General features: G+C 49.8%; 1 protein-coding gene across 6 annotated transcripts in view, besides 2 other annotated features; it reads left to right on the top strand.

Annotated features, from left to right (window-relative positions):
* Positions 1–26478, top strand: part of BCL11B (BCL11 transcription factor B) — a 102911-nt gene that overhangs the window by 30131 nt on the left and 46302 nt on the right. For 4 of the 6 annotated variants that reach the window (XM_047431708.1, NM_001282237.2, NM_138576.4 and 1 more), the window contains one exon: positions 10510–10722. The exons of the other annotated variants lie outside the window; for them this stretch is intronic. In XM_047431708.1, coding sequence (XP_047287664.1) covers positions 10510–10722 — 213 coding nt within the window. The remainder of the gene's footprint in view (positions 1–10509; positions 10723–26478) is intronic. 6 annotated transcript variants of the gene reach the window in all.
* Positions 4373–4897: an enhancer, noted in NCBI's record as "H3K27ac-H3K4me1 hESC enhancer chr14:99703507-99704031 (GRCh37/hg19 assembly coordinates)". NCBI's record gives its function as "activates a minimal SCP1, AML or CMV promoter by ChIP-STARR-seq in primed H9 embryonic stem cells {active_cell/tissue: H9 hESC(primed)}" and the evidence as "EXISTENCE:reporter gene assay evidence [ECO:0000049][PMID:30033119]".
* Positions 11830–12728: an enhancer, noted in NCBI's record as "H3K27ac-H3K4me1 hESC enhancer chr14:99695676-99696574 (GRCh37/hg19 assembly coordinates)". NCBI's record gives its function as "activates a minimal SCP1, AML or CMV promoter by ChIP-STARR-seq in primed H9 embryonic stem cells {active_cell/tissue: H9 hESC(primed)}" and the evidence as "EXISTENCE:reporter gene assay evidence [ECO:0000049][PMID:30033119]".

Genomic DNA, 26478 nt, shown 5'->3' with positions numbered 1-26478 from the left:
GTCCTCCCCACTCCCCTTTTCCTGTCCCCTTCTACCCACCCTTTCCTTAAACCCAAGTGGGCTTGTAGTCGAGTGGAGGACAGACACGTTAAACACAGCTAAATAAATCATGTTTACGCTTGGCGTCTTCGGTAGTGAAAAATCTGTTGGCTGTTTTTACTTCCTTATTTCTCAGCATTTGCTTCCTACCTGCTTTTGACCACATGCCCAGAAATAGTAGTTTTGTCAAATGAGGGGATAATGCCAGCCAGCCTTTCTCGCTGCCAAGGAAGCTGCTGGATTTTGCAAAACAGAGTGACGTTTTTTTTAGTGACACTGATGTTTTTTTCAAAGAAATTAGGATGTAGAATAAGGGTATTAAAATGCACTTAGGGAAGGGGGAAAAAAGCGACATCGTCCCCCCTACAGCACAGGGACACGTAGCAAGCAGGTTTAGAGAAGAAAGGTCTCATTTTTGTTTGCACTTGGCCGCTCCAAGGGCAGGAGGCAGCTGTCAGAGGCGGAGGAGCTGAGTCAGGTTCCCTTCGTCTCAGCCCCAAGACTTAATTTTTCTGCCATTTTGGTGATGTGGTGCGAAGATTTTTTTTTTTCTTTTTCTTTTGGGTTTTGTGTCTGTTTAGTCTCTGAGGCCTCCTGAGCGATGCTTGCTGCTTTCTTCCTCTGAGATTACAGCTAGATTCTCGCCCCGATCTGGAATTGGAGCTCGTTGGGATCCTGGCTACACTATGATTGTTTATGTGTAAGAGTGGCCCCGGAGGCCTCCCCGCCTCTGGGCTCTTATCTACAATGTTGTTTTGGGGTATATTTCATGATGGGGTGCTGGGCAGAGAACTTCCTGGGTAATTACAGCCAAACAGAGGCTGTAGATTTAAAAAAAATAATAAAAAAACAGTTTCAAAACCAAGTAAGTGGCATATAAATACTGGGCACTCCTGTAGGGAGAAGAGGCTTGTCTTATCGCGGGATCTTTGCAGGGTTTCTGCAGTCAATTCTGTCTGAGGTCCAGCACATCAGCTCTGTTTCAAAGACAGCTGAGGAAAAAAAAAAATTACAACAAAATCAAAGTCAGCGTGCTATGATTTCCCCCAATTTCTAATGGGAATAGTCTGCAATAGAAATGATATTTCCATTGAGGACTGCGCTGCCGGTTTCTTTAATTACATTAAATAGCGGTATAAACCTCAGCCGAATGTAAACCTCTGTTACAGCGGCGTCTCGCGCGTGGCTAGATGAATCGTAAGGAGCAATATTCCTAGCGTTAATGTGCTAACAATCTTTATTAAATTAGTCCCGCGAAGTGTTAATTTTTACACATTTTGTTGTGCACGCACTGCACGTCACCGCTAGTGTGTTAGGAGATGAAAACGGATTTCACGTCAAAAAATAAGTAAGAAGGTGGCTGTCAGACAGCTCCCTTAGAAGAAAATTTGTGATTTTTGCCATCAAATGTTACCTGTGCTGAAAAGAAGGCTTACGATATGTATATTAAATGCCATCTACATACAGAAAACTCAGTTAAAGGAACTACTTTGTTGAAAGTAATTACAGGCCTGTTCAATTTTTTAGTCAGTGACATTTCAGACTTGGCTTAGGAACATAAAGAGGCCATAGAAAAGATTTTGTTCTTATGTAATGCAAAGCACTGAACCTCGGTCTTCTATAAGTCCATTAGGAAAAGGAAAAAAAATGAAAGGGAGAAAAGAGATTTAGTCATAAACAAAATCCAGGGGAGAGCTGTATTTTTTTTATTACAATAGTAGAAATCAATTGCCTATAATTCTATCAAATGCAACCCAAAACAAAATGTGCATTTAAACTATAGCAGGGTCCTCCTTTTTACAATTTGATTTCTTTTCTCTCTCTTCCTTTCTTTCTTTCCTTTTTTCTTTCTTTTTAACCTTCTACTAACCAAATTTATTTCTGTTCCATCTGAAACAAGAAACCCTGCTGGCCCTGTGGTTGTCTGTTCCCTTATGGCTCAGGTAGAGTTTTATGGTCTGATCTTAAAAAGGTTGATGATGCTTACATTCCTCATATCCATGACTCCATCTGCACCTGAAATTTCTGTTCCCTTTTCTGGCTGCTTCGGGCTTGAGTCATCCCAATAACCTCCTTGCTGGGCACTCCGTTTTCTTTATGTTCTTTTTATTGGCTGTGCTGTTTATTTTCATTCTTAATTCTCCGGGATTCTCGCAGCTCAGCCTTCCTCCTTCTGTTTATTCCATTGCACTGTCTGTACATGGCCGTTGAGCAAAAGCCAGCATTGGAGTTCATGGGACCTTGGAACCACAACTTCCTGAACTCCCCAGTTTGTAAACATGTTTTAGGGAGGGCCAGATTCTTAACACGTGTCAGGATTCAGTGTTTTCCGGGTCATTCCTCAAAGGTCAGGCACAGTGGATGCTGAGGGGATAGAAAAAGGTGTCCTTAGTTTAAAACTCACTGTAGGCACCCAATCTGAAGATGAGTTTCCTGGTTTTTGCCTTGTGTGACATGTGAGTTCTATCTTAACTGTGTATTTCCACTCCCACCCCCAGCTCTAAATTAATGAAGAAATAGGAACATATCTGAGGGATGCCTGGCCAAGCTTGTCATTGGAGTCTGGCCCCTAAGTTCCATCTGGGAAAGGGCTACAGGGTCCCAACCCGAAGTCCCACATTCTTTATGCTTGGTATCCAGATGATTTATCTAACACTTTACTTCGGTTTGCAGCCTGCCTTCACTCTTCGTTGAGTTATTCTTCATGCAGATGACATGTAGTATACTGTTTGTGGCTCTGGACGCAACTGGAGAGAAAATTACTGAAGGATCTTGAATTAAATTGTCTTAGAAAACAGAGACTGCTGAAGGTTGAAGCAGCTACCACACCTCTGATCAGAAAACCTAAATTGAGAGGAAAAGGGGCAATTCCTCCATTAGGTATTGACTGGCTGATTTTGCTGGTGAGATTTGGAGAATCTCTCAGTTGCAATTTGTCCTTGCCCTCTGTGGACTCTGGTTGGATGCGCGCAAGACATCTTAACATGTCCACGTTGCTGATAGATGAGTGTTTGTGTGTGTATGTGCACATGCATATGTATATGTATATAGAACCTCTCTTATAGATAATAGAAGTGCATGCACACATTTTTCTAACCAGTGCGACACATGGCTTCACCTTCTGTTGTCCTCAGGCCTGCCCATTCCAGGATGGTGGGCCCCAATTTGGTGGACCCTGCCTGCCTGAGGTCACCCAGAGGAGTTATATTCATTTTTGTATCTGTGTCCTGAAGCCGTGATGCCTAGGAGCAAAGGAATGATCAGCGTCCCGGCTGGAGGACAAGTGTTTGTGGTTTATTTGCATTTCAGTAGTTCGGAACACTGCAGGATTTTCCCCGAGAGACAAGCAAAAGAAGAGTCCAAGCTGCGTGTCCCTCACTGCGCCCCCCTACCCCCTGCAAATGCCCACTTAGGGGCTGGAACGGCCAGCCCCCTCCACCTCCGTGGTTCACAGAAGATGGCTGAGGGATGCCCTTCCTCCCCATCAACATTGAAGTGTCCTCTGCTCCCTCACAGGGGCCTTGGTGTTGGAATTTGTGATGTAACTTCACCAGTCCTTGGGTCAGGGTGCAGAAAGGGGATCAGCAGCCCTGGAGTATTTCAGCTGCCTGCATCTTGAGGAAATTGGAGTTGGCAGTCAATGAAACAGGTGCTTTTGGACCTGGGGAAGGGGTGTGCCCAAGCGTGCCTGCCTCTAAATTGCAAGAGGCAGCTGCTGGGGAGGATGTTCCCTTTCCAATCTCTGGTGGAAGGAGGAGAAAGGTTTTGGTAGTGTCGGTGGGGGACGCGATCATTCCTTGGCTCTGCCTCTCCATTTTCTGGGATGAGATTTCGGAAGTGCTCCAAGAGGAGGAGCTTAGAGTAGGGCAGCCTGGCTCAGGGTGCTCCCTGAGGTGTGCTTCTAGTCTCCCTCACGGCCAAGCCTTCTCACGGTGGGTGCAGGTGGATACCCTGGTGGCCACACAGGGTCGTGGGTGGCCTGTGGGGAATCTCTGGATGGCCGTTTGTGGAAGTGATGGTAGAAGTGGTCTCAACCCAAAGATGAGCAGTTGCCCATGTTCCTGGAGGCCCCTGGTGAACCCACCTCACTTCCTGCAGCCTGGCACTCCTCAGTGACCCTCTCTGGATCCATTAGGGCCTAGATGGTTGATGAAGGATGCTGGACAGGCTCTTTCACCTGCATGTGAATTCTTACCCTCCTCAGCCACCTGCAAGGACTGCTGTCTTTCAGCTAGCCGCCCACATAGAGGCCAAACGTAGATTCGAACTGTTTTTATGTCTCCCGTGTAATGACCCCGAAGGAACTCTTTAAACACAGCTGTGCAAACCCTTGTGAGACCTGACTTTCCCTTTTCGTTGCTCTTCTTTCCAAGGACACCTACATGTTCACCCCCAAGCCAAAACCCGTGGCAACAAGGGACTAGAGACCCGTAATGGCCATCGGGTGCCCAGACAAAACAGTGGTGTCTGATGGAGAATGAGAATCCAGGAGTGGGAGGTGGGGCCTGGGGAGCTCCATCGCCCTGCCTGGCATTTCTAGGTCCCCCAGATGCTCTGGGGCAGTGAGCTGAGCCACGTGGCACACCCACTCCCTCTCTGGTCCTGCCTTGGGGACCCACCCTAGACTTGCAGCTTTTCATGGTAACCTGCGTGTTCACTTAAATGCTTTGCTTTCCCTTTCTGCTTTATGATGATGATTGTTGGTATATATTTTACAATGAAATGGAAAACAAGTTCCAGTCATTGCTGGTTCCTAGACCTTGGTAATTAAAAGCTAAAAAAAAAAAAAAAGAAAAAAAAAGAAATGAAATAATACCTGTGGAGTGAAGGAATTTATTTTTTGAGTCACCCTCAACCCCAAAGACCTGTGTAGCTCTGAAATTGAGCAAACGAAGAAGTCTCCCTAGAATTGTTCTTCTCTATTCCTGCTGTCTCAGCCACTCCCCCTCTACACCCCCCACAGCCCCCCAAAAAAAGGGATTGAGAGAAAGACAAATGATGAGAGAAGGCCAGTCTTGTCAGGTGAACACCCAGTTCCTGTCTCATTTAAGGTTGCACTCCACTTCTTTCAAATAGGAAATTGCCAAAATGGATGTCATGGGCTGCTAATTAGATGTATTTTAACTGCAGGATCATTTTACCAGCTAATACTGTTATTATGTGCTTCAATGTGAACCCATGGTGGAGCTGTTAAAATATGAGCGTGCAGTCTTAGCAGACAGCTCTTGGAGCCGTTGGGATGGGTGGAGGGCGCTTTTCCTCACGGCCCTGAAGATCCCCGGGCCAGGCCCTGTGCTGAAGATCAGAGCCCTTTCAGCTTCTCAAGAGGTGCCCCCTGCTCTCCTAAAGACCATCTTCTCCTTGTGTTTAGACCAGGGCCTGAGCCTCCAGGAGGCCTGAGCTCTCCAGCGTCACATCCCCTGCCCTCTAGACATCAGGGTTCCCTCTGGACCAGCCTAGAAGTGCCAGATGACCACAGTTCATGCCTGTGCCTACCCAGAACAGGCAGGCCTGAATCTCACACACTGGAGTTTCAAGTCTGTGCTGGCTTCTCCTCCATCTTCCCTCTGTAGCAAACCGGAAAAAGAATCCTAATTTCCCGTTGGGGTGGGAGGAGATGAGCTAGGATCAGGATAATGATTTTTAAATGTGAGCCAGGCATTTGACTTCACGTTATTTCTTTTCCCCCTCACGCTCTTAATACTTAGCATTTTTTTTCTATCATCCTTAAGACAAAGTAGCTGGCAAAATATTTAAGTGATCAGAAAAAAATATTTTTATTTGCCCGCGTGCGAATTGGGTTATCTGCCTATCTTGTTTATGAAATTTGGCGCTGCCTTTCCTGCACAGTACGTTCGCCTCTCAAATCTTTCCCGGCTCCCATTTCCATATTTCTGCGTGCTTGTTCTTTGTTAATCACTTGGCAAGCGCTTATTTGAATATTAAAAATTTCTTTAATCATCAAAGGCAGGAGCACAGTCTCATGAATATTCATATTTTTCCCCCTCCTCAGACTGGATTCTAGTTCATTACCCTGCAGTAAAAGCCAAACAGCCATCAATCGCCCTCATTACAGGCTCTGGCGTTTTGATTGGCTGCCTGCTGCCCAGAGCTTTTTTTTAATTTTTTTAATTTTTTCCCCCTTCTCCTATGAGCTGTCTTGTACCTGCCAACAACCAAAAAAAAGAAAAAAAAATCAACAATGCAAGAATAAATTTCTCTGGTTGGAAAACAACTTTGCAAACTTGTCAAACAGTCCTTGTGGCTTGCTGCTGCCACCGCTGTAGCGTCCACCAGCGCCACCTCCTTCCCCCCGCTGTCCTTCCCCCACCAAAAAAAGAAAAAAGAAAAAAAAAAGAAGCCCAAGATAAAAGAGAGGGGGGAGAGAAAAATAAATAAATAAATAAATAAAAAGGGAGAAACTTGAGCCTCAGAGATGAATATTTGTCAAGAGAGTTGACGTAAGTTTCATTTGCATAATGACTTTGTACTTCTGCATTAATAAAATTTGCATATGAAGCCATGTTAATTACTCCTGATCATGCTTTTTGCATTCATGCATAGTAATTTTCTCCGACTTGTGAGAATTAATGTCTTGGCATGGGGGGAGGGGGCGCGGGGACTGTCAGGTTCCCTTGCCAGTGTCCCTCACTCACACGCGCTGCCTCCCTGGCTGTCTCCTTCCTTGATCTATGACTCATTTCTGCACTATCAGTAGGAGTTCTCAGCTTAAAAAAATGTATCAATTGAAAGGCACCAGTAGGGAGAAAAATACTCGTCTCCTGCACAGTGTATTCCAGACCACCTCTCTCCAGCTCTGAACATGGAATCTGTAATCCTCCCATTTGGGAGGGGACGCCCCAGAGGCTTCAGGGGTGGGGAAGGCTCGAATTCCCCCTGAAACCCGGATGGGGCTTTTCCAGGCGTTTTTGTGTCTCCACGCTCCTCGGCGGTGGGCGTGTTCGCTGGGTGAGTGCGCATGTGTGAGGAACGGAGCAGGAGCCTCTGCAAAGTCCCTCTAGAAGAGAGACGGGTGACAGACCCCTGTGGAATGCTTAAACCCATGAAGGCATCAAGAATGAGCTTATCTAGCATTGCCCTGTTTTGGAGCCTAAGAAGAGGCATTTTAGGGGCCTTATTTTTAGACTTTTTTTTTTTTTTTTTTTTTTTTTGTGCATAGACCTCCAAAGCCAGCGTTTTTTTGGGAGTGTCTTGCAGGTCTTTGCAGGGCGCTTTGCTATGCTCAGAGAACATCCTCTTGCTTTCTTCGCTGGGCAGCGATGATGCCTTGGAAAGGACCATAGGGAGTGGGGAAAGTTTCAGAATGGAAAGCAAGAGAATGATAGTGACCGTTTGGTGAGTTTCCTGGATCTCCGGCTCTGGCTCAGGGCTGACCTGACCCTTCCTTTAAAGTTGAGGGAGCTGAGGCTCTGAGAAAGTGACTCACCTTCAGTCACGAGGCCAGGAGACAGCCGAGGAGGAATTTGAATCCAGTCCTCTCGGTCCTCAAGGCTGTGCGGCCTGGGAGCTCTGGTGGCTTCCTCTGTGCGTGTGTGGGTGCATACCCTGTCCCACATCTCAAGCGCTCCTTAAGTGCTTTCTGGATTTCCCAGCTTCACTTTTAAAGGCAAATACCCCTCCTCTGAGGAAGGATGGGGGCTGGGAGGTAGCCTGGGACAGGTACTGAGGCTGTTTTTTCAAGTTGAGGTAAGAGTCACATGATGTACAATTGACCATTTTAAAGTGTACAATCAGTGGTTTTGGATCTATTCACAATGTCGTGCAGCCGTCACTCCTGTCTAAGTCCCGAGCATTTTCATCACCCCCCGAAGAAACTCTGTGCCCATTAGCCACCCCTCACACCCCTACTGGCTCCCCCCAGCCCCTGGCAACTGCTACTTTCTGTGTCCGTGGATTTGCCTCTTATGAACATTTCGTATCCATGGAGTCATGCCGTAGGTGGCTCCTTTCATCACTTTGGGCTTTTGCAGTAGCTTCAGATTTCTTGAGTTCCACCCTTGGGAAGGGCTCTGGGTTTGAGCTGCCCCGTGTGGAAACCTCTCCCAGTGTAGAAGGTGCTCTGGGAGCCCCAGAGAGGCCCTGTAGAGCTTGGGATTTGAAGCCCCTCTCCCGGCTGCCCCCCTCCCCTGCCTCAGTTGAGCCGGTCCCTGGAGCAGGTGGACTTCAGCAAGGTCACAATTGCTAATGAGACTCTGGGGAAACCTGTCCAGGGCGGCCTACCCCCTGACCCCTATGCAGGGAACAACGTGTGGTGTGTGACATCGCCTTTACAGACCCTGGTCTGAGCCCCACCTTGGACGTTTCCAGGAGAAGGGTGTGGCCAGATGCCTGTTTTCTACCTGCTCTGCAACGGTTCCTCCCACCACGGAGACAGAGTCAGCTTCTTAGCACCTGGGACAACCCTTACCAGGCCTCGAGCTGCTTCTGCTGGTTTCTCAGTAGTGATAAATGGTGCTGGCTGTGTCGTGGCCTCACCCAGAACCCAGGAACCAGAGCCTGGGTTTGGCCTTTGCAGCTTCCAATGGCTGGATTGAGCCCAGGGATCTCAGACTTCCGCCCACTATGTGGCCGTTGCTCTAGAGATCCCAGGACCCCTGGTCACTTACCCAGCTGCAGCCCTAGAGGGAAGCAGAGCATTGCGGGCTTCGGGGACACAACTGGGTTCCAGTCTCAGATCTCCCTAAGCCTCAGTTTTCCCCCAGTGGAATGTGGATCTTTTCTGAGCGAGGTGGCTGTCATGATGATGGATGACCCAGAGCCCTCGGTGGTCTGCAGGGAAGGCCTACATAGGGATTTGAGACCACCAGTGGACAGGATCAAATGCAGTGTCCAGTGCTGGAAGGTTCAGGCTAGGGCAGGCTTCCAGGAGGAGGCAGGTCCTGACCTTCCTTGAGGGATGGCACTAAATCTAGCATGGCCTTCCCCTCAGCATCTGAGGCTGAAACTGTTTACTGGTTCCTCAGCCACATCCTTCCAGGGCTATCCCCAGCTCAGAAATACCCTGGGCCCGAGGCCTCACCTAGTATGAGGTCTTTGTTGGTTCAGGGGGTTCCGAGCAGTGTTGGTGTTAGCTTTGACCTCTTGACAGGACACTGACAGCTTGCAATCCCTAAGCAGGGGGTCTTCTTAAATGCCCTGATGCCTTGATCCTGGATAACCCATGTTTTAGAGAAACCAGGGCTACAGAGAAAGAGCCCTGGTTCTGGGGCCAGACAGCTGGGGTTTGGATGGGGCTGCTGATGTCTGCAGTTTTCTGCAGTCACGCCATCAGTTTCCTGGTCTGTGCAATGGGTATTCTAAGCCCCAGTTCCCGTCAGTGTGTTAGGAAGTTCAGTCCAATGAAGACTGACAGGCTCCTGGCTCCTGGTGGCTTGCAGGGTCCTGTGGCTCTCCTTGCGATGGGGGAATCCACGTGGGGGCCCTGGAGTGGGCAGACTCCCACCCGTGCAGACCTGTGCTGGGCCTCCCTGGCAAAGCCGGCTGGGCCCAGCTGCCCATCCTCTTGTTGACGTTTCCTTTTTGTCTCTCTGATGCTTCCCTGCTCAATTATTTACCCAGGGAATTTGGGCTTCTTCACTTGTGGTTTTGGCAAGGGCTTCACACAAATGTTTTGCCCTGGTGGTCTCTTAGCCATTTAAGATAAACGGCTAAATCAAATGCAGGCCTTGCTGTGGAGCTGAGCGAGCTGTGGGGCTGGGCAGAGGCGGGGCCGGCCCTGGCCCTGTGTCCTTGCTGTCACATGGCGGGAGGCCTCCCAAGCCAGGCCGAGACGTTAGGAGGGGGTGAGCAGCGCCAGGGTTTTCTTGGGGTGTGGTAGGGGGGTGTGAAAGCCTTCTGAAGGGCATTGCGTTTTGGGTGCAGCACGCTCAGTGCTTGGGGCTGGAGAGAGCCCCCAGCTGGTGGTCTGCCAGACAGGAGGCTAACAGAGCCCAGACACCTGGAGGCGGACCCAAGGCTGGAGGCGGACCCAAGGTGTCCCGGGCCTGTAGGAACAGCCCATCCTGATACAGCAAACAGGGGAGGCTGTGAGCTTCCCAGCTCTTCCAGGGAGGGGTAGCCCGAAGTTTTGGAAACAAATCCCCAAATGGAACCTATTTGATTGCTCCAGAGGCCCCCACGTGGGGGGTCCTTCCTGAGAGTGGGTCCTCACAGCCCCCGTTCACCCAGCCCCCTGCACCAGGCCCCCAGAGGCGGGGTCCTGCCTCCCCGACAGCCCAGCCTGGCAGCTGTGGAAACCGGGCCCTCCCCAGTGCCCCCTGCCCACCTCCCCGAGCCCATTCCCTCGCCTGTGTCCCGATTGCCTTCCCTGCAGGGCCTGGCACCCCGGGGGCCTCCCACCCCCGAAGGGTGGCCTGAGCAGAGCCCCACGCCCCGAGCCCCGTCCCACCCCGTGCCCCTCACACAGTCCAGGGCCCGACTGACCAGTCTTTTCTATTGTTTTTTCTCCAGGGCCGTGCAGGCCTGCCCAGCTGCCAGCGGTGGCCCCCATAGCTGCCTCCTCCCACCCTCACTCATCCGTGATCACTTCACCTCTGCGTGCCCTGGGCGCTCTCCCGCCCTGCCTCCCCCTGCCGTGCTGCAGCGCGCGCCCGGTCTCGGGTGACGGGACTCAGGGTGAGGGTCAGACGGAGGCTCCCTTTGGATGCCAGTGTCAGTTGTCAGGTAACAGACGACGCCGCGGTGGGGGGCGGGCCCCCGGGATGGCGGGGTGTGCCATGGGCAGCGCTGGAGCAAGGTGGGGACCCAGGGAGGAAGGGCAGCTCCCACCCAGAAGGCTTTTTGGGGTGCCAGGGGAAGTGGTAAAGAATGTTCGCTGAACTATGAGCCAGGGCCCGGTGCCCCTCGGTCAGGAGTCCCCCACGGTGCCCCCACCCGTTCTGAGAGTCTTGCTCCCAGAATGCATTCCCCAGCCTCCCAATCCCGCTTCTTTGGGTTGTTTAGCGACAGCTTAATTGGATAACACTTAACATCTGAGGTTTTCTTCGGCCCTTGCCACTGCCACCCCCTCCCCCACCCCAGACAATCCCCTGCCCCGCCAAGACCAGGCTAGGGGAAGATTCCTTGGTTGACTGTGTACATTGCTGGAGCCGTCCAAAATGCTGAGTTTCTCTTTGGGAGAATGTGTTGCCCATTAGCTTTGAAAAAGAAAAAAAGTGGCTCAAAAGGAGCCTCTTAAAAAGCTGTGGCCACGAGAGGGAGTGAAACACTGTGAGGTGTGTGAGGGGTGGGGGCGGGGGCTGAGTACCTGCTGTGCGTCCGGCTCTGGGCCAGACCCAGACACAGCTGTTTGTGCCGACTCATCCTGCTCTCCCGGGCGGGCGGTGTGGCTGCCCATTCTACAGATGGGCAGATGGGCCGGTGTGGTGACACAAACTGGCCTCTACCTGCCCTGCTTCTCCCCAAGTGGAACCCAAGATCTTATTCTGCCTAGGGTCTCTGGGAATCCTTGGGGTCCTTGGGAATTCAAGGGCAAAGGGCCCTCTCACAAGTCTGTCCCCCCGGCATCTCGGCAGGGCCTGGCGTGAAAGCACTGTGGCCACGCAAACCAGGATGCTGACACAGACACATGTGGTGAGCAGCCGTGGCCTGGTTTCTGTGGCAGGGGCAGGAAAGGAGAAGGGGGGTGCAGAGCTGGGGCAGATTTGATTGGTCCCTGCTTTGTCACCAGGCATGTTGCAGGCTTTCTCTCGACTTGAATTGTGAAAGGAAAACTATTTTTATTGGGCAGGTTGTGTTTTTAATTGAAGCTGTCCCCACAGGCGGTCCCTGATGGAGCCACAGCTCTGCAAAAGCCATGGCCACAGCTCTGTAAAAGGCCACAGGCAGCCCCTGCTCCAGGGTCCAGAGCTTCCTGGGCTCCAGAGCTCCCTAGTAGGGTGGCCTGGAGCTTTAGTGTACCCTCCCTGCTGTGACAGGTGGTGACATCATAGGATCTGGCTTCCAAAAGGGAGTTCTGGTTTCTTACTGGACTTGTGCCTTAAAGGCACAAAGCAAAACCCAAAATCTCCTGGGAAGGAGTCGGAACCACTTGCAAAGACGCCGGCTCCCTTTTCTGGGCTGTGCTGGTCCCCAGGTGCTCAGGCCTCCTGTCCTGGTTCAGTAGATCTGTTCTGTGAGTCTGTGGAAGGCCCTGCTTGCTGAGCAGGGGGTGCCTGCTCTGTCTGGGTGGTTGCCTTGCTCTCGTGGCTTCCTGTCATTAGCGCTGCAGCCTCGGCAACCACTGGGGGGGCCATGCTATCGAAGATCAGCCTGAGTGTTTATTACTGGACGCGGTCAAGTTCCGTGGCACAGAAATCTGATCTCACCAGAGGCTCACCCAGGGCTTTGCTTAACCCTCTGTTGGCCCTACTTAGAAGTTGCTGAAGTAGATGAGACTCAGCTAGAGGACTGAGCCGCTCCCTCATGTGGCCAGGCCTGCTTAGCATCTTTGTATGGTGCTGACCAGGAGCTGTTACCATCCCCATTTTGCAGATGGAGAAGCAAGGGCTTGGGGAGGGAGAGTGGCTAGCCAGGGTGGCAGAACTGGGATTTGTCCTTGGTTGCCTCCTGAAAGGCCACCCCTCTTCCTGTGGAGCCACGCTGCCTCTGCCGACATCCACGGGAGGTCGAATGAGCTTTCCACTGCCTTGGCTCTGGGGGGCTCTGCCATCAGCAAGTCCTCATACATGCCACTAGGATCCTTATGAGGACTGTGTATGGAGGGCCTGCTATGTGCTGCATTGTGCTGGGCATGTGTGCCTTCTTGAATTTAACCCTCACAGCAACCCTAATACTTTATTCTCCTCACTTTGCAGATGAGAAAATGATGTTCAGAGATGTTGAGTTCTCACAGCTCACGTCTATCCGTCCGTCCATCCATCCATCCATCCATCCATCCATCCATCCATTCATCCCTGTATCCATCCATCCATCCATCTATCCATCCATCCATCCATCCATCCATCCATCCATCCATCCATCCATGCATCCATCCATCCATCCATCCATCCATCCATCCATCCATTCATCCATGTAGCCATCCATCCATCCATGCATCCATCCATGCATCCATCCATCCACCCATCCGTTCATCCATCCATCCATCCATCCATTTATTCATTCTTTAGCTTGAAGCCATTTGGAAGGCACCTAGCTTGTAGCACTGTGCACACACAGGAAGAGTCGGCAGGCAGGTCCCTGCCCTCGTGCAGCTTGCAGTCTGGTGGTGGGGAGGACAGGGAGTGGGGACCTGCAGAAGGGGAAGGAGGAGCAGGGAGGGAGGGAGTGGTGGAGGTGGGATTTGATCCCAGGCTCTCCATCCAGCACCTGCCACATCTTTGGCTTTGGCTCTTCTTCTGGCATTAAAGGCCTTTTTAGATTTTAGGCCTTGAGAGCTGCCAGGACTCAGAGCCTGTGAGCAACCAGTGCTTGATTGCAGTGCTCTGGGAGGGACGTGAGGAAGGGCAGTGTCCTGTTCCTGGGGCTGGGACTGCAGGAGGCTGAGCCCCTAGGACTGCTCCAGGAGACCCTTCTAAGGGGCCTGCTCTTACCTCCTGCCCTCTGCCACCATGTCTGGTACAGTTCTCTTTTTTCATTCGGTCCCAGTTCATTGGCCCTCACCAGCTTGCACCACCATGTTTCCCGATCAATTTGAATACCTGAAACTATCCTATTCTGGTGTTTTTTGTCCCTTTGTGATTTGTGTCCCTGGCACTGGGCTGTTTGCTTAAGTGTTTTTAGTGCCTGTTTAATTAGTAGTTGGAATGGAGTCATTAAGTTCCCAGTAACCCGTTAGGAAGAAGCAGGCCTTTGTAAAGATGGAATGGGCCTGCTGTCCTTACCTGGTTTTGTCCCTTTTCGGATCAGGATGCATTGAACCCATCTCTTCAAGTTAACATGGAGAACCCCAGTGTAAACGTGTTTCACACAGGTTAATTGCGTGCCTGTTACCGCATCTGCAGTTATTTATAGAAGGATGTGATTTTACGGGGGGAGAAAACCACACAGGTATGTGTGTTTGTGCACACCCTGGGCTGGCAGCATCCCAGGGGGCCCTGCCTCCCGGGACCCCAACCCTAGACCTCTTTCCAATGGTCGCAGTGGGGAGAAGGGACTCGGGGGTCCTGACTCTTTTTGACTCTGCTGAAGGAAGGTGGGGCTTTGAGTCTAGGCGTTCCTGGGAACTGAAATTTCTTCCCTGAGAAATTTCACATAGAGGATTTGGCACAGTGGCTGTGGGGTCAAGAGCCTCAGACTGTGTTCCTGGTCTGTGCTTCAGCTGGCCAGGGGCCCTAAAGAAGTCATTGCCTCAGTTTCCCCTTCTGTAAAAATACACGTATGTATGTATATGTGTATGTATGCAACATTTGAAAACGAGGCTCGTGTTATTTTCTGAGACAGGTCAGTGTGGAGCTGCTGTGGGTGGAGTGAGCATGGGGCTAGCTAGGTTTCCAGGGCAGGGCGTGGGACATTCAGAGAATGGTTTGGACACTCCTGGGCTTTGTGCCCCGCATGCCAGAATCCTTCCCTGTTCTGAGGCTTCCATGATTGGAAAGCGGTGGTCAAGTGTATGAGACTGCTTGGGGGTGAAGGCTGTTCTGCCCCATGTAGTCATTTCCCCTCTCCATCCCTCAGTTTCCCCATCTATAAAATGGAGCTAAGGATAGGACAGGCTCTGAAGGGTCGTTCTGGGGATCGTGTGAGATCATACGGGCCAGGTGCTGAGAACAACACCATGTGCTGAGTGAGCCCTGTCGAAGTTAGAGTCCATGCACGAGCGGAATGGGATTCACGACATTGAGACTCTGTCAGGTCTCACTTCAAGCTGGATCTTCGCTTTCCATTCTTAAAAGTATTTAGCCTTTTGGCTGGCTCAGATCATGTACCAGCTTTGGGAGGTGGAATAGGAACTGAGACACTTCATTGCATATTTAAAAGCTGCAAATGGTCATCAGCCACAGTGATTAATATGTGTACTTGGTGAAGTTCAAGGTCTCACACAAGAACACACAGGATCCCAGCTCAGGGAAGTGGAAGTGTTTGGCTTTAATAGAGGGAGTCAGTTGCAGTCATTAGTATATGCTGAAATCACAGGGCAATCTTGTAAAGTTAAATTCAATTTACTTTTCTACTGAAATTGTGCTTGCTGTGTTATTTAACTAGTCTGGGGTTTCTTGGCATGGGTTAAAGGGACAATAAAGATAAAAGAATACCTGTAAGTAAATAGTAGGGTTTAACCATAGAATCTATCCTTTTCTCCTCCTTCAATTATATCCCAGTGTTCATTTTGTGTTGGTTTTATAACCAGAGCCGTCCAATGGGGCGCCGTGGATTAGACCACGCTAGCTGTGGAAGCCTGATGCAATTAATGCAGTCTGCCTGGAAAGTGGCCTTATTTCTGGAAGTTTTGTGTTAATGATATGGTCTGTGCTTTGCACATTTCATACCAAACAAGAAGCAAGCTGTAGTTTCATTCTGGACTGGGTTCGATTAACACCGGAGGATCCATGGGAAGCCAAACGGTGATACGGACAGAGATGGTAGCCTCACCAGGCCCCTGCTGATGCGTCGCCTTGATTCTGGTGCAGGGGGTGCCAGAGACACTCCAGGAGGGTGTTAGATCGGCCACTGAGACTGGAGGGAGGGGTGAGTATGGGGGTGAAGACAAAAAAAGAACCGTGTGAGTGAGCGTGTGTGGACAGCAGAGCTCCGTCGTGGGAAGGTTGGAAAACATGCTCATGGGATTCCCTTTGCAAAGTAACGTTTGTTGTTAGGATCCTTCTGGGCTAACCAGACAGGTCCTAGTGTTGATGGGGGCTGGCTCCATGTAGGAAAAGGGCTTTCAGGGGAGTTATTAAAAATTTAGAGAGTCATCTGTATGCCTTGCAATGTCTACATCGCCCAAGGGCCGGTGGTCCCAGCATCTGCAACCCAGCCTTCACAGTGCTGTTGCTCTTCCTGGCGTGCAAGCGCTGTTGATTCCACCCTAGCACCTGCCTGCTTCTTGAGGTCACGCTGCTGCAGAGGCTGTCCATGCCCGACTGCCTTGAGAACCCAGACGCCTCTTTCTGTGACCGGAGGAAGTGCCAGGAGAAGCCATGGAGAGCTGCAAGCCCCCCAGTTGGGGGAAGCCCCCCAGTTGGGGCACCTACCAGCATGACTGTCCTTAGATAAAAGAGGCCCCAGCAAATCCCTGAGTGGAGATCGCTGCAGCCTCGCCAGATTCCATTTCACTCTCTGAGTTGGCCCTTCAGACGTTCTGAAGGCAGAGCTAAATCAAAGAATTCTGTTCAAATCCATACAAGATGTTGCTGTTTTTCTGCTCTGACAGGAGAGGCATTTGGAAGTGCAGTTTCTTTCTTTCTTTCTTTTTTTCCCTTTTTTTTTAATAGCTGTCTTAAAAAGGAGTTTGGCTGTTTAGCACAGCTGGTGCTCATTACATTATGCACTGGCAATAAGATAGCATGTGTAATTAATTTTTAATGCAGTGCTGGATGCAGCGCTTTCAAGCAGTTAGTGGATGTGAAGAAGCAGCACTGGCCAAGGACATCAGAGACCTCAGAGCAAGGCAGCCCCGTTCTCCTTTAAAGGGACTCGGAAAGTGGCAGAGGAGGCTTGCATTGCCCTCTGTGTGGAGCGGACTGGCCCAGAAATGGGTTCTTCTCGGGTGACCTGAGGTCAAGTCAGTCTATAACAATCTAAGACCAGGGATCCCAAGAGATCATCTCCTCCAACCTCTTCATTATATAAATGGGGAAACCAAGGCAGAGAGTGGGGATGAAGCCATGACACATGGGTGGCAGAGCTGACTCATACCTGGGTCTGCCCACTAGGCCATACTACCTCTCTTGAGTTTTTATTGAAAACCAGAAAAGGAAGTTCGTCGCCCAGTGGAAGCCACTTAAAGATTGATTTCTGCCTGACCATGAGGCTTGGTGTGAACCCTGCAATGAGATTGGTAGCAGGTAGAGCTCTGATGTTGAGGAGCCCCACGTTGGGTGCCTTGGACTTCAGCTCTGCTATCTGCAGTGGGAGCCCACCAGACACATCCTGGGTTTGAGACTCTGGGGTTGTGCTTTGACAGCTGGCTGCCCTGTCCCTGTGGGGCTCTGTGGCATGGATGTGTGTTTGAAGTTAAATGTCATTGTGGACCCGTGTTAGACTGCAGGCATTGTGGGAAGCTCTCGAGATGGGGCCATCCTCGGTCCTTCCCTTGCAGTGAATGGGAGTGAGTATGTGATCCCAGGCTAGCCACTTACTTCCTCTCTCCAATCTTCAGTGTCCCCACCTGTAAAATGGGGACACTGAAGTACTTGCTTACCATCCCTCTACTGGCAGGTCCCATGAACAGCTACCATCTGGGCGTGGCCACAGCCCATGACCAGCACCTGGGGGAATCAGAGGGAAAAGGCCGGTGGGAAGGGAAGGAGGGAGAAAGCTGAGATGCCGGAAAGCCTTGTGAGACTCTGGCCTTGGGTAATCGGCACCCCAGTGACGACTTAGCTCTTGGAAAGCCACTTGCCTGGGAGAGTTTCTTAGTGTGAATGAAGGCAGAGGAAGGGCCAACATCATCAGTGTTCCTGGGGCTTGCCACTGTTTGCTAAAGGGCCGGCTCAGTCCTAGGCATGACATCTCATCGTTGTAACGCTCCCAAGAAGAGGCACTCCCCCACCCTTTTGCTTATGAGGATATTGGGGCTCAGAGAGGCCACACAACCCACCAGGGGTCACACAGCACACAAATAGCAGAACTTGGACAGAGAGTCTCAAAACAGAGATTCAGACTCAGGTCTGGCCAGCCTCCCAGCTGTACTTGGAGCTCTCCCGTCTGGCTTCCCACTGGGCTGTAGTGGACAACAGAGAAGGAGCTGCTGGTAGAAAACCAAATCAAACTCTGATATGGTACCTGGGAGGGTCCTGAAGGTCTTCCTTCATGCACTGGTCATCCTTGTGCCAGACCCTGGGCTGGACTGAGGGATCCGGAAATGGGCATGACGGGGTCCTTGCCCTAGAGGAACTCACCGTGGTGGGGGTGCCCATGGAGGGCCTTCTCACTCAGTGGATGTGAAATGCATGTCCCCATGGCGCCTTTCTCTGTTTGAAAAAAATGAATCAATTGGCTGCTGCTCGGGTGCTCCCTCACTTATTGCCATGGTGCAGCTCAAGAGCAGATCTCAGGATGGAGAGGTGTCCCACCTGAGGACAGCTTGTCCTTGTGGTCGCATTGCTGAGAGGTGGGGGGTACCTTCTGTGAGGATTTTTACCTGAATGAAGCACAAGTGGTGCCTGACTGCATTGGAATCCACGTGATTATTGGCGTGTTTTTGACTCTCATTTTATCCAGTGGTGCATTGGGCCCATGGCTGGTCCATAACCGCATGTTATGTGGAAGAAGCGAGAGAGTAATGGGTTTTCCATGAAAGGTGGTGCTGTTTCTGGAAATGGGGCATACATATGCTCATCCTCATGGAGCAGCGCCGTATTAAACAGAATTGTGTGAATTGAAGGTCACCTGGACCACTCTTGGAAAATGCTCCCGACCCCCATGGGGTTCCTTCCAGAGAATTTGTGTTCTCTGTACCTGAGATCAAATGTGTGTCTAAGCAATTCTGGCCCCTGGCTCCCACCACCCTACCCTCTCCACAAAATAATAGACATTAGGGGAGGTAAGGGAACAGAAGAGGTCTCTTTGCAGATATTATATTTTTAAAAAATGGTTCTATGTAATAAGCAGCAGCTAAGGAGACAGAAAGACAGTAGATGAAGAGAGTGCCAATATCTTCCATGGGGAAAAATGAATGAACTGAAAGAGAATATTATTTTTCTAGAATACAGAAAGCTGTCCTCTCACAGATCAGCTGGAATTCCAAGGTGGATTATGGACTTCTTCTAACTCCCATTGATAGTGCTTCTTACCAGGTGAAGGGAAGGGCTACTTTTTCCTAAAGGAGAAAAAAGCTTTCAGACAAAGCTCGTACCAACCCCTGAACTGCAAATTTGCTCAAGTGACCGTGCATACTTATATTCCTAATTTAAATGATTATTTATGTCAAACGCTCATTGTGAAACTTGAAAATGTTGTATTACATTACATCAAATAAAGTTTACTTGTAGCAGACAGAAAGAGAGAAAGAGAAAGAAAGAAAGGAAAGAAAGGAAGGAAAGAAGGAAAGAAAGAAAGAAAGAAAGAAAGGGAAATAAAGAAATTAAAGGGCTGGGCTTACAGGAGCCTGGAGGGTTGGGAGATCTACAGGGGTTTTACCACCGGGGAACTTGAGGCTGAGGGTCCAGTCACTGTGGGCAGTGACAGGTGTGGATGTGGTGTCTTCTGGGAAGGGGCCTGCTGACAACAAGCTTCCTCCAGCCCTGGCTGGACATAGAGGGAAACAAAGTCACCGATCCTCAGTCCACCAGAAGGCAGTTTTGACCTTGAAGAAGAGGGCTAGAGCATGAGCGAGATTTTCTCATCGGATCACCTCAAATTGGGTTTTGGGGTTCTGACTGGGAGTCAGGGACTTGGCATGTGGTCCCACGCCAGCCTTAACCAAGTCGATTTCCTCGACCAGGCTCATCTCTGTCTCTCCAGTGGCTGGGGCGGGGATGAGTCCCAGCAGGTGCCCAGGAGATGCTGGGGGATGATGAAGACTCAGAAAAGGCAGTGTCTACACCTGTGAGAGAAAGAGGAAACACAGAAAACGCTGCTAGCCACATTCTTGTATGAGCATCCTCCTTGTTTTTGTACACAGGACAGTGGAATCCATTTTTTTTCCCCCACTGGGGAGCGAAAGAAATAATAGCCCTTAAAAAAGCTTGAGGTGTTCTTTGTTGTTTTTATGGTGCGGGGAGAGGGGAACAAAATGTACTTGACTTTTCGAACCTGAGGGCAGGGTCGGGGTGGAGGGGCTGTGTTCTGTGTATATTTTACAATTAAACCCAAATAGTCTAAACCATGAGATACAGTTTATTCAAACATAATCAAGGCTGGCCACTTTTACCCAAAAAGCAGTGGGACGGAACCCTCGGTGGGCAGGGGTCCCTCTGTGGGGCCCAGCATTATGCCAGGGAAACCAGATCAAACTCAGATATGGTTCCCGGGAGGATCCCCCAGGTCTTCCTTCATACGCTGGTCATACATGTGCCAGACCCTGGGCTAGACCCTAGGGTCCAGAAATGGGCGTGACAGGGTCCTTGCCCTAGAGGAACTCACTGCGATGGGGTGCCCAGGTGGGGCCTTCTCTCCCAGCTCTGAATTTGGGCTTTCCAGGCAGCTTCTCTTGTAGTTCACAGGTGAGAGGTGACAGGACCGCTCCTGGTTTTCGCAGATGCGAAATTGCTTTCCTTGCGCGTCTGGTGGACGGCACAGGTGGGATTTGAATCCAAGCCTCCTCGAGCCTGGGGCCCACGTGGGCATCCTGCTCCTGTCCTTGCGTCTGGTCCTGGCCTGCCCCTCCCGCCTGGCCTTGTACCTGGCAGGTGTGAGTAGGAACAGCCAAGGGAGAGGAGTGAGCTTGTGAATCACAGAGCTGCCACTGGGCCAGCCTGAGCCCCGGGTAATTAGAACGCCAGTATTGTATGATTCTCAAGGAAGGGATCGTGGCGCTCAGGACTTCTCCAGGGAGGTGAATGCAAAAATGGAGTCAGTACCTGCAGAAACGGGGGCCGCTGGAATCTTTTCATAAAACTGGACATTTTAAATGATTGCCTTTGTTAAGAAGTGAGGAATAGCTAGTGGGGCAAGGCCCACTGGGTGCGTGAGTCTGCTCTTGGTGTTGTATTTAACCAGTTCTGACTCAAGTTCTTTTGCATGAATTTCCTTGGGTTTTATTAGCCAACTCAGTTATTAACATTTTAATCTTAAAAAATACCTTTGATCAGGCCAGTCGCGGTGGCTCACGCCTGTAATCCCAGCACTTTGGGAGGCTGAGGCAGGCAGGCGGATCACAAGGTCAAGAGATCAAGACCATCCTGGCCAACATGTTGAAACCCCATCTCTATTAAAAATATAAAAAAATGTAGCTGGGCGTGGTGGCGGGCGCCTATAGTCCCAGCTACTTGGGAGGCTGAGGCAGGAGAATCGCTTGAACCCGGGAGGTGGAGGTTGCAGTGAGCCGAGATCACAGCATTGCACTCCAGCCTGGGCAACAGAGCGAGATGCTGTCTAAAAATAAAAAAAATAAATAAAATAAAAAATACCATTGATCAAGGGTCCACTGTGTGCTGTGGGCTTTCTGTGTATCTCCAGTGATTCTCACAATGCTTCGATTGTGAGTTTTTTTAATTGTGGTAAGATAAACATTAGATTTACCATTTTAACAATTTTTAAGTGCACAGTTCGGTGGCAATAAGTACATTGCAATTGTTATGCAGCCATCACCACCGTCCATCTCCAGAGCTTTTCCATCATCCCAAACAGAGCTCTGGCACCATTAAACACTAACTTCCCATTTCCCCTCTCCCCAGCCCCCCATTCTCCGTTCTGTCTCTCTGAATGTGACTACTCTAGGTTCCTTAGGTAAGTGGAATCATACAGTGCTTGTCCTTTTGTACCTAGCTCATTTCACTTAGTATAGTGTCTTCGAGGTCCATCCATGTTGTAGCACGTGTTACAATCTCCTTCCTTCTTGAGGCTGAATAATATTCTATCATATGGATAGACCACATTTTGCTTATCCACCCATCCATTGATGGACAGTTGGGCTGCTTTTGGCTATTGTGAATGGCACAGCTAAGAACGTGGGTGGACAATAATCTGTTTGAATCCTTGCTTTCAGTTCTTTTGGAGTTTCTGCGGAAGTGGAGTTTCTGCGTCAAAGGGTAATCCTATATTTAATTTTTTGAGGAATTGCCAAACCGTTTTCTATAGTGGCTACGCTGTTTTACATTCTCACCAACAGTGCACAGAGGTTCTCATTTCTCCGCATCCTTATCTGACTGTTGGGTAATTTTAGTGTTTTTTGGACTGTTGGAGTTGATAGCCAAGGAACCTGCCTCTCAGGGATGTGGCAACAACTGGTCCAAGTTAGGTGGGTAATAAACCTGAGGGCGGTTTGAATCCAGCCTCAGCCAGCCTAGGTGTGGCCCTATAGTCACCACTGGACTGCTGGGGGCTACCACCTTCAGTATATTTTAGTTGAGGGTCTTGAATCCCCTTTGTCTTGGAAATGGTTGCCCATGGCAGTTCTCAGTTCTGTCTCCCAGGACAGCTTTTTTTTTTTTAATTTTTATTTTTTATCTTTATTTTTTATAACAAAGCTAAACATTTAGCTACCTTGATAGCTTGGGGAAGAAAATTCTACAAATGGACAATTTTCATTGTTCTTTCTGTTGTGTCTTCAGGGTGTTGATTTGAGTGTGACTTAGCAGAAGGAGCCCCGTATTTGGAATCAGAATCCCTAGGAGCGAGATAGAGCTCACTCGGTGTCCTGTGCACGCTTTGGCCCTCTCTGAGCCTTGTGGGGTCTCCCTGCCTGATGGGAATCATCACACTGGTTTTGCTTCCTTGGCTGGGCGGGGAGGGACTGGGGACAGGGAATCTCAAGGGAGTGGCCTTGGGTCCTTTGTATATCGGGATGGTAATTGCGATGATTCTTATTAGTGGTTGTGCTTTCTCTCTATTGTCCTGTATTGGTGTCCCAGGGCTGCCGTAGCAAATGGGCACAGACTGGGTAGCCTAAGACAATAAGAAATTGATTCTGTGGTCGGGTGCGGTGGCTCACGCCTGTAATCCCAGCACTTTGGGAGGCTGAGGTGGGTGGATCTCTTGAGCCCAGCAGTTCAAGACCAGCCTGGGCAACATGGCGAAACCCATTCTCTAAAAAAATTAGCCAAGAATGGTGGCATACACCTGTAATCCCAGCTACTGGGGAGGTGGAGGCAGGAGGAGCCCTTGAGCCCAGGGAGGTTGAGGCTGCCATGAGCCGAGATCGTGCCACTGCACTCCAGCCTTGGGCAACACAGTGAGACCCTGTCTCAAAAAAAAAAAAAGAAGAAATAAAAAAAAGAAAAGAAATGTATTTTCTCACAGTTTGGGAGGCCACAGGTCCAAGATGGAGGGGTCGGCAGGGCCGTGCTCCCTGATTCCCTGCCTCTGTGGGCACACAGCTTTCTCCTCTGGGTTTGACTTCTCTTCTGAACAATTAAAATAAAAAAGACAATTGTCTTTGGATTCAGGACCCACCTAGACCATCCAGAATGATCTCATCAACAGCCTTCACTTAGTCACACCTGCAGTGACCTTGCCCCTAAATAAGCTCACATTTACAGGTCCTGGGATCTAGCTGTGGACAGCTTATTTCAGGTGGCTCCATCCAATCTTCTCTGCATGCCTCTTGCTGGATTCTAGGCCCTTCCAGGGCAGGAAACCCAGCTGGTCTCGGTGAACTGAGGTCTGGGACAGGTTCAGGCACTTACAGGGGATTCCCCAAATGTCTCCTGCATTGAAGCTGGAGCTGGCTTTTGACAAGATGGACACATGTTCCTTTTTTTCTCAGGAATGTGGTGATTCTGAAATGCCTGGCCCTTCGGCTAGCACTCAGACTTCTGTGTTTATGGAAGGCAGTGTGGTCACATGTGGCCCCCAGCTCTGCCCCCATGCTGAGTCAGAACACAACTATTAACGATAGGGCGGGGAGATGGCTTAAAAAAATCTGTGGCCGGGCGCAGTGGCTCATGCCTGTAATCCCAGCACTTTGGGAGGCCGAGGCGGGCGGATCACGAGGTCAGGGGATCGAGACCATCCTGGCTAACATGGTGAAACCCTGTCTCTAGTAAAAATACAAAAAAAAAAAAAAAAAAAAATTAGCCAGGCATGGTGGCGGGTGCCTGTAGTCCCAGCTACTTGGGAGGCTGAGGCAGGAGAATGGCGTGAACCTGGGAGGCGGAGCTTGAAGTGAGCTGAGATCGCGCCACTGCACTCTAGCCTGGGCAACAGAGTGAGACTCTGTCTCAAAAAAAAAAAAAAAAAAAAAACCTGCAATGATTATTATGAGAATTAACAGAGTTGAATAGGAGCTAAAAATAACTGGACACACACTTGCCTATAATCCAGATTTTAAAAGAAAATATAATTATTTTTGTAAACTGGCTCTGAGAAGCCAGAAATATTTTTAGTTTGCATCTTTTAAGACATGGTGCATGTTTTCAGGGAGTGGAGTTCGGAGCCCACTGGCATGTGATGATGTCACCAAGTCAGAGCACACCTGAAGCCTGTGGGGACGGGGTGGTGGCAGGCGGCGGGGTCAGAGGTTAAGGAGCCCAGTTCTGAGCACCATTTGTCTGAGCATGCATTTGAGGAGAGGTGTTCCACCAGCCTACCGTGGCTTCTGTAGGTGCTGGAGCCTGGGGTGTCCTGGCTACCCCCAGTCTGGAAGCCAGTAGCATTGAGAGAACAGCAGCTGGCTCAGCTCAGAGGCCAGGGGGTGGGGGTTCCCCCTGGATAAGGTGGACCTGACAGGGTCTGAGCGGACCTGCAAGAAATAACCAAGACTTGAGGGAAAACATTCCACGGCTTTTTCATTTGGAGCCAAACATTGCCTCATGTAATTTTCTCCCTGGTTTTTCCCATTGCCTCTGCCAGGGTCCTTGGGCCTGGCACAGACCCGTAATAAAAGGCCGTGTGTGTGTGTGTGTGTGTGTGTGTGTGTGTCTGTATGTGTGTGTATATTTGTACTCGTGAGAGTGTATATGTGCATATATGTGCATGCGTGTACACGTGTATATGTAAGTGTATGTATTTGTGAGTGTGTTTGTATGTGAGTATTTGCATATGTCAGCATATGTGTATGTGTGGATGTGCATATGTGTACATGTCTGAGTGTATATGTGAGCATGCATGTGTATACATGTGAGGGTATATATACATATTTGTATATATGTGTGCATATACATACGTATTTGTGTGTGCACATATGTGTATGTGTATTTGCATGTCAGTGTGTGAATGTGGGGGTGTGCATGTGTGTACATGACTAAGTGTATATATGTGCATGCATGTGTATATGTGTAGATGTGAGAGCATATGTGCATATGTATTTGTACATACACGCGTATTTGTGTGTATGCACACACGTGTGTGCAGATGTGTGTACACATGTGGATATTTGTGCATGTGAGTACATATGTATATGTCTGAGTGTATATGGTATCTGTGCACATATGTGTATGTATGCGTGTGTGTGTGTATGAGTGTTTTTGTGTGTGAGCATGTATGTGCATATGTGCATGTTGAGTGTATATGTGTATGTGTCTGTGTGCAGTCCAGGGAGAACTATCAGCACAGAACAGGCCCCTCCCAGCCTCCCAAGCTCTGTGTTTATGGTGAGGGCACTTGTGATTATTTTTCTTCCCTGAACTTTCTGATTCTTCCTGGATTTGTGGTGTGTGTCCATCCTGAGGCCTGCTGAGGCCTTTGAGGGCGAGTCTCTCTCTAGAGCTGAATTCACCTTCTTAGTACCTCCTGGGGGAGACTGAGCCCCCGCCCCCAATCTCAGAGGGAGCCCACAGTCCACAGTGCTGGGAAATGTGGCCAGTCTGGTGTGTGACCCACCAGGAGTGGCTGCAGAGAGAATAAGGGCTGTGGAAGTGGACGGCTGGGTTCAAATCCCGACTCGGATGTCTCTGAGCTTTGGCCTTGGGCAGGTAGCCCAGCCTGTGTGTGCATCTGGTTCCCCACCTGTGGCATGAGAATAGCACCATCTCACGACTGAGAGTGGGCGGCTAGCAGTGATAATGGGGCGCTGTGCTAAGAAGCGTTCATTGTGGGCTTCATCTTCAACATCCCTCACCCCAATTCTGCGAGGAAGGCACTTTTCACATCCCCATTTTACGGATGAGGAAATGGAGGCAGTCCGATTTCAGACACTTTACTGCTTTATTCTACCTTAGAGTCTTTCTCTGTTACATTGTGCGGCCTTAAGCAGCAGCTGGCCTGTGAAAGGTGCTGAATAGCGGCAGGCATTACTGCTATCTTTTTATCGTTGTTATAACTATGATTATTATTATTGCAATCACTGTCATTGCCGCTTCCCTGGGCGGAGGCTTTCCGGGATCCACGGGGCTTTTTCCTCTGTTCCCGGCACTGCCCTCTGTTCCTGGGGGCCGCATTCATCCTCGCGTCTCGCCCCTACTTCCCTGCTTTTCTCCTTCGTTTTGGGTTTGTGTGTATTTGAGGTCTCTTTCTCCTCTAATTGAGATAATGAACACAGTGTTTCCAGAATCACTGCACTAAAAGTCAAGTGCAAAGTGATGGTTTTCATTTGTTTTTCTCCCTCTTTCTCTCTCTCTTAATATACATGTCTTTAAGAAGGGATTGGCTGAAAGCAAACAGCTAATAACCTATGGATTTATGGAGGCAGTGCGAGCCGGCTTAATAAGCTTTTATACCTGGAATCAGTGTTCTGTCCCTTTAAGTGGAAACTCCAACGTGCCTTGGTATTTTACAGTG

Source organism: Homo sapiens, chromosome 14 (assembly GCF_000001405.40).
Source record: "Homo sapiens chromosome 14, GRCh38.p14 Primary Assembly".
Lineage (NCBI taxonomy): Eukaryota > Metazoa > Chordata > Mammalia > Primates > Hominidae > Homo > Homo sapiens.
The sequence above is the reverse complement of the archived record's forward strand: the minus strand, read 5'-3'. Positions and strand labels throughout refer to the sequence as shown.